Here is an 8,102-nt window from a genome sequence, read left to right as displayed (position 1 = left end):
TTGCTTGAACCTGGGAGGCAGAAGTTGCAGTGAGCAGAGTTCATGCCATTGCACTCCAGCCTGGGCAACAAGAGCGAAACTGCATCTCAAAGAAAAAAAAAAAAGAAAGAATACAAAAAATTAGCGGGGTGTAGTGGCACATGCCTGTAATCTAGGCTACTCTGGAGGCTGAGGCAGGAGAATTGCCTGAACCTGGAAGGTGAAGATTACAGTGATGAGACTGCACCACTGCACTCCAGCCTGGGTCACAAGAGCCAAGAGCGAGAATCCATCTAAAAAAAAAAAAAAAGAATTTCTATTTGGGGGACAAAATAAAAGGAGTGAAAGGGATGTAAAGAAATTGAAAGTCAACAGGCTAATAATGACAATAAATAATGAGGGAGCAAAGAAATCAGTATTGGCCAAATAAAACCAACGTGTTTTTTAATATTTTTTCAAAATTTAGACAAAGCATTCCAGTACACTGAGACACTTCTATTATCAAGACTTTAATATTGCCTGAGCACAGTGGCTTATGCCTATAATCCCAGCACTTTGGGATGCCAAGGCAGGAGGATCGCTTGAGCCCAGAAGTTCAAGTCAAGCCTGGGAAATATAGGGAGACATCATCTCTGCAAAAATAAAATAAAATAAAATAAAATAAAATTAAAATATAAAATAAAATAAAATAAAATATAAAATAAAATAAAATATAAAATAAAATAAAATAAAATAAAATAAAATAATAAAATAAAATAAAATAAAATAATAAGCCAGGCATGGTGGTATACATCTGTGAGCTGTGACAACCCCACTGCACTCTAGGATGGGTAACAGAGCAAGAAAGACCCTGTCTCAACAAAAAACTAGAATATAGAATAAATGACATTTGGGTAAGTGGAATATTAGGTGTTCAATAAACACAGGTTATTCCCTCCCTATCTCCATAGAATCATCAATTTTTTTTAAGAGAAGTTTTGATTAGAATCTAAAAATATCAATACTTCTCTTTCCAAAAAAGGAGGGAAGATTTAAATATAACAATTTCTTGGTTATTTCTATTTATTTTCATTGTTGCTTAATATTACTCAGTAATGAAAATGCAATTGCTCTCTTTCAAACATAGTTTTAATTAGTTGCACAAAATGCCACCTTATAGTCTGATGTACTTCAAATTTCCCTATCTATGAAAGCTAAATTTGGATATTATCTCAAGGATATTATAATCTCTGTCTTTAAATCTATCTAGGGTTCTACCTTTTCTGTAAGCCTTAGTGAATCTCACTATAGTCCTCCTTCCCTTTAAAAATGCAGTGATAGGCCGGGTGCAGTGGCTCTTTCCTGTAATCCCGGCACTTTGGGAGGCTCAGGTGGGAAGATTGTTGGAGCTCAGGAGTTCAAGACCAGACTGGGCAACATGGCAAAACACCATCTGTGCAAAAATTACAAATATTAGCCTGGCATGGTGCCATATGCCTATAATCCAGCTACTTGGGAGGCTGAGGAGGGAGGATCCCTTCAGCCCCGGAGGTCAAGGCTGCAGTATGCCCTGATCCTGCCACTGCACTTTTGGAGGCCAAGGCAGGTGGATCACCTGAGATCAGGAGTTGGTGACCAGCATGGCCAATATGGTGAAACCCTGTCTCTACTAAAAATACAAAAATTGGTCAGGTGTGGTGGTGGGCACCTCTAATCCCAACTATTCAGGAGGCTGAGACAGGAGAATCACTTGAACCCGGGAGGCGGAGGCTGCAGTGAGCCGAGATTGCACCACTGCAGTTCAGCCTGGGCAAGGCAGAGTGAGACTCTGTCAAAAAAAAAAAAAAAAAAGAAAGAAAGAAAAAGAAAATCAGTGATAGGTGAGACAGCTCATGCCTGTAATCATAGAACTTTGGAGGCAGAGGTGGGAGGATCACTTGAACTCAGGAGTTCAAGTTCAGCCCAGACAACATAGTGAGTCTTCTTATCTACTGAAAATTATTTTTAATTATGCCACAGTGCTAGTGTGTGCCTCTGGTTTCAGCTTATTTGGCAGGCTGAGGTAGAAGGATCACTTGAGCATAGGAGATGAAGGCTGCAATGAGCTGAGATGGTACCACTGCACTCCAGCCTGGGAGAGAGAGTGAGACTCTACCTCAAAAATAAAAATAAATACATAAATAAAAATTCAGCGATGGAGTTGATGGATTTGAGGTTGAGGACCCCCAATGTGAATCCATTTGGAAAAAACTCAACCTGTGTTCTCCCTCTGCTTCACACCAAAACCACAACAATCTACCCAGAAGACTTCTGTGGCCTCAAAATATGAGGAGATTTCTCCCTATCAGCAAGCAAGGAATCAGTTCTGCAGCAGACACCAGCTGGGTATCCACCAATTCGATTCTGACACTATCTACCATGAGATAGTGTCACCCCACAGATTGAGGGCTCAGCCCCCAAAACTGCCCCCCTTTCAGACACCAGCCACAAGTCCCAGCCTCTGGAACTTCTGACTGACAGATTTAATTTGGGGTTCCTACGACCCCCTCTTTGGGTTTGATTAATTTGCTAGAATAAAATGGCTCACAAACCTCAGGGAAACACATTTACTGTTTGATTACAAGGATATTCCAAAGGATATAGATGAAGAGATGCCTAGCGTGAGGTATGGGGGAAGGGGCACAGAGCTTCCATCCCCTCCCTGGGCACGACCCTCCAGGAACCTCCATGTGTTCAGCTCTCTGGAAGCTCTCCGAATCCACTCCTTTTGGGTTTGTAAGGTGGCCTCATTACATAGGCATGATTGATTAAACCATTAGCCACTTGCCATCAACTTAATCCTCAGTCCCCTCCACTCCCCAGGGGTGGGAGAGTAGGGGCTGAAAGTCCCAGCCCTCTAATCCTGCCTTGGTCTTTCTGATGACCAGCCCACATCCTGAAGCTATCGGTCAATCCCTAACATATAAAAGCCAAAGCCTGGGTGCAGTGGCTCATGCCTGTAATCCCAACACTTTGGGAGCCCGAGGCAGGCAGATCCCTTGAGGTCAGGAGTTCGAGACCAGACTGGCCAATATGGTGAAACCCCGTCTCTACTAAAAAAGAAAACAAAGACAAAAATTAGCCGACCATGGTGGCACATGCCTGTAGTCTACTTGGGAGGCTGAGGCAGAAGAATTGTTTGAACCCGGGAGGCAGAGGTTGCAGTGAGTGGAGATTGCGCCACTGCACTGCAGCCTGGGTTACAGAGCAAGACTCCATTTCAAAAAAAAAAAAAAAAAAAAAAAAAGCAAGCCCTTAGGACATTCCAAGGATTTTAGGAGTTGTATACCAGGAAATAGGGACAAAGACCAAATCTGTATTTGACAAAAATCACAGAACCGTATGAGTTTTTAATTCAATACAGACATGGAAACTGGCCCAAGCATTTACTCACAGATGACTGGGCAAATCACTGGTCCTATGGGTACAAATTATTGATCAAACCCCCAATCTCATTCCTACCCCTAAAATATAGCAAAGTGCAAGATCTTATTACCTATTTGGACTGAGATTAACACCATCCCTTAAATTGCATGGCTTTCAATCCCAGGGCTATGGCATGTGATGCCACATAGAATATGCATGAATCTTCTCTCCAGCAATTGAGTTGTTAGGATAAAGGCTCTTGTCTTTGCCTTCTTTCCCTCACAGCCAAGAATGTTAAGGAATGTGGACACAAAGGATGAGGTTGGAACAGAAGTTTAATATGCAAAAGAAGAAAGCTCTCCCCAGCGGAGAGGGGACCCGAAAGAGGGTTGCCAACTAGGAGGCTGAATCTGGGGGTTTTGTGAACTGGGAAGGGGAAGAATGTGCTCACTAGTCTGTGAGCTGTCTTGGAGAAAGCACAACTTCGCTTGGCCCGGGACCTTAGCTTGGGACCAACCAGAGGCTGAAGTGAAATTTTGGCCCAAGACCAATCAGGGGCTGAAGTGAAAGTTTGGCCCAGGACCAATCAGGGGCTGAAGTGATGATTCACAGAGGCTCGGCTCACAGTCCAAAGCATGTCCAGAAAAGGAAAGTGGTCACCAGAGCCTGTTAGTCCAAGCTGCACCGATTTGTAAGCCCCCACCATTTCACAGACCCTGGTCAGAGGGAAACATTCCACTGGGGTTTGGGCTGCGAGAAACATCCTCCCCAACCGCCTGACTTCCTTATCACATCCTGCTGGGGAAAGGCCCAAGAAACATCCTTATCAACATTCTCCCAGGCAACAAGCTATACTGCCCAGATCCCTCCTGCCCAGGCCTATAATTACTCCAGCCTGTAAGCGGCAGTGGGCTCTGGCATTTAGTTGGTCCCCTCCATAGAGCCGCCAACTCTCTCTCTTTCTTTAACCTTCACCTTCCCTTCAAAATCTAACAGAGCCCACCATATACATGCCCACAAAAAAGCGACTATTTCCTGGAAGCCCGCTGGTCACACAAAGGACAAAGGCATTTCTATGTTGGGCCTCGGTCCCTTATCAATGCAGCTGAGGAATGTCTTTAGGACAACCCCCTTTGCTAGTTTTCCTTCTCTGTGCCTGCAGCCTGATTTTTCAGGCTGTTTCTCTGTTGAAAGGAGTTTTACCAAGGACCCGCTCTAACTCCCTAAAGGGTTTTTTCTCTCAAGGGGACACACAAATTTCCAATCGCACACATGCCTCCCTATATCCACTTACCCTCTGCCTCACAGCCAATCACACTCTCCTCTCTCACACAGACCACGGGGCCACACAAGTTGCACCTGCACAGCCACAGACCTGCAACTCATGCACACACAGTACTGCACACACACGCAAAGTCACACACCCACCTTGGGACAAGCAGCCCCCACTACACAGTCACCGGTTGTCCACATCCGCACACACAACGCGGCTCGTCCAGGACACACACATCCACTCCGAGCGCGCACAGTCACAAGCGCCCACCTGATCACCCAGAGTCAGCACCACACAGCCACAGTCACAGACCACGAAGACCCACAGCAACCATCGCAATCACACACGCAAACTCCTCTCCTCAGCCCTCCACACACAAAAGGACCAGAGCCGGATTCCTCATCCTCAGCTTTCTCTAGTTCCGCTCGGGGCCGGCCTGGCCAAGTTACTCCGGACTCCAAGGCGTGGCAGCAGCTAATTGGGCACAGCGAAAGATTCTGCCACCTGGCTAAGAGGAAGCCAAAATCTCGCGAGACATGGTATTGGCCCGCAGAATCCTCCGGGAAATGTAGTCCAGAGCCCGACTGCTCCCCTGCTAAAAATACAAAAATTAGCCGGGCCTGGTGGGCGCCTGTAATCTCAGCTTCTTGGAAGGCTGGGGCAGCAGAATCGCTTGAACCCGGGAGGTGGAGGTTGCAGTGAGCCGGGATCGCGCCGTTGCACTCCAGCCTGGGTGACAGAGTGAGACTCCGTCTCAAAAAATAAGTAAGCAGACATGTCTGCTGCCCACATGAGGTTTACATTCTAGTCTGGAGAACAAAAAAGATTTTAAATTAAAAGGGGAAGATGAAGTAATTTTATATTGTGATAAATACTATGAAATATATCAATAGGTGGTATAGGCAGTAACTTGAGGGATACTTCCCGTAGCATTGATAGGACGGGTGTCTGAGAGATAACCCTCGAGCTTTGGTGGTGAGGAGCCAGCAGTGTGGAAGGGTATTCCAAGCAGAGGCACAGTTACACTGAAGACCCTGAAAAATCAGAGAGCGCTTGGAGCGTTCCGGAAACAGAAAGCAGCCTGGTGTGACTGAAGCTTAGCAAGTGAGTGGGAAATTAGTTTAGATTTAGGATGTAGAAGTCAGCATTTTCCGATTCATATGAGAAAATGATAGTGCTGAGATTACAGGCGTGAGCCACTGCACCCAGCCCCAAACCAAGTTTTTATAGCAGCAAGAATAGATACTCTGGTATGGTCAGCGTCTAAAGATTTTACAAACAATATCTCTTCTTTTAGTTTGCAGTCATTATTGAAATAACAAACATGTCCTATTGTCAGGCCTTACTCTCAGTAACTGATTTCATTGATCTGAATAGGAAACTTACTTGATTAATCAGCTACTCTTTGGTATTACCTGACATCTCATTAATGCATCTTTGAATTGAATTATTGCTCAATAGGAGTGATTGTGAAATAGTGGTAATGTGTTACATCACTATTGAAGTTACCGTCTCTCATGTGAGTCTTGTGACAGTTTCAGCAAGTACAAAGCACTATGGGGTTTTACAATGATTTCTGTAATCTTTTCTTTTTTTCTTTTTTTTTTTTTTGAGACAGAGTCTCGCTGTGTTAGCCAGGCTGGAGTGCAGTGGCATGATCTCACCTCACTGCAAGCTCCGTCTCCGGGACTCAAGTGATTCTTCTGCCTCAGCCTCCCGAGTAGCTGGGATTACAGGCGTGTGCCACCACGCCCGGCTAACTTTGTATTTTTAGTAGAGACGGGGTTTCACCATGTTGGCCAGACCGGTCTCAAACTCCCGACCTCAGGTGATGCGCCTGCCTCGGCCTCCCAAATTGCTGGGATTACAGGCATGAGTCACCACGCCTGGCCTATTTCTGCAATTTTATAAGGCAATTATTTCATCATAATTTGTTTGCTTATCCTTTTTTTTTTTTTTTTTTTATACCGAGTGTTGCTCTATAGTCCAGGCTGGAGCATGGTGCTGCAATCTCGGCTCACTGCATCCTCCACCTCTCAGGTTGAAGCGAGTCTCCTGCCTCAGCCTCCCGAGTACCTGGAATTACAGGTGCACACACCATGCCAGGCTAGTTTTTGTGTTTTTAGTGGAGACAAGATTTCACCATATTACCCAGGCTGGTCTCCAACTCCTGGGCTCATGTGATACACCCACCTCAGCCTCCCAAAGTGTTGGGATTACAGGTGTGAGCCACCTCACCCCACGGCTTGTCCTTCTTAAATAAGAAGTAACAGTGTTACAGTTCAAAATTCTATTTTAAACTTTTTAAATATTCTGTTTCTCGACTTTATCAGGATGTTTCTTTTATTGATGATCCACAAATCTTGATTTCATAGCTGTTTGTAAAAACAAACAAAAAACAAACAAAAACTATTATTTATAAGAAAAAAGCTGTTTTGAGTTAAATGGGGTTTTCAATAAAACTGTAAGCTAGGCTGGGCGCGGTGGCTCACACCTGTAATCCTAGCACTTTGGGAGGCTGAGGTGGGTGGATTGCCTGAACTCAGGATTTCAAGACCAGCCTGGGCAACAGGGTGAAACCCCGTCTTTACTAAAATACAAAAAATTACCTGGGTGTGGGGGCAAGTACCTGTAGTCCCTGCTACACGGGAGGCTGAGACAGGAGACTTGCTAGAACCCAGGAGGTGGAGGTTGCAGTGAGCCAAGATCATGTCTGCATTCCAGCCTGGGCAACAGAGTGAGTCTCCATCTCTAAAAACAAAAACAAACAAACAAAAAAACAAAACCAGTTGGCCAGATATTCATTCATTCCGATGTAGTCAACACTTTTCATTTTCAACACTTAACACAATTAATGCTAGGTTGAATTACTTTCATAATATAAACTATTTTACATAATTCCCAAAGCACTGAGGATCAATCATAAATACTATCCACAAGGCAGCCAATAGACAGACACACACAGACCACCTCTCATATAACTTTGGGATAGAGCATTCAATCAAGAAAAAGTCTTCCAGGTATAGCCATCAATTTGCCATCATTTTGTAGCACTGATCTTGCAAAGATTTTTTTTTTTTTTGAGGTGGAGGCTCGCTCTGTCACGCAGGATGAAGGGTGGTGGCACGATCCACTCACTGCAACCTCTGCCTCCTGGGTTCAAGCGATTTTCGTGCTTCAGCCTCCCATGTAGCTGGGATTACAGGCAGGTGCCACCACTTCTGGGTAATTGTTTTGTATTTTTAGTTGACACAGGGTTTTACTATGTTGGCCAGGCTGGTTTGAACTCCTGAATTTCAGTGATCCACCTTCCTTGGCCTCTCAAAGTGCTGAGATTACAGGTGTGAGCCACCGTGCATGGCCTGATCTTGCTTGGATTTTTTATCTTCCATAAAATGATTAATGCTGCCCATCATATTTGAGAGAAATTAAATACCAAGGGGTAAAATTTTGTGCAATAGGCCAG

The 8,102-nt window shown here is 44.7% G+C and overlaps 1 annotated feature.

Moving 5' to 3' along the window:
* Positions 3,884-4,178: an enhancer, noted in NCBI's record as "tiled region #15674; HepG2 Activating non-DNase unmatched - State 24:Quies, and K562 Activating DNase unmatched - State 24:Quies". NCBI's record gives its function as "activates a minimal TATA promoter and a strong SV40 promoter by Sharpr-MPRA in HepG2 cells, with weaker activation in K562 cells {active_cell/tissue: HepG2 | K562}" and the evidence as "EXISTENCE:reporter gene assay evidence [ECO:0000049][PMID:27701403]".

Source organism: Homo sapiens, chromosome 9, assembly GCF_000001405.40.
Source record: "Homo sapiens chromosome 9, GRCh38.p14 Primary Assembly".
NCBI classification, from domain to species: domain Eukaryota; kingdom Metazoa; phylum Chordata; class Mammalia; order Primates; family Hominidae; genus Homo; species Homo sapiens.
Note: the sequence above shows the minus strand (reverse complement) of the source record. Positions and strands in the feature narration are given on the sequence as shown.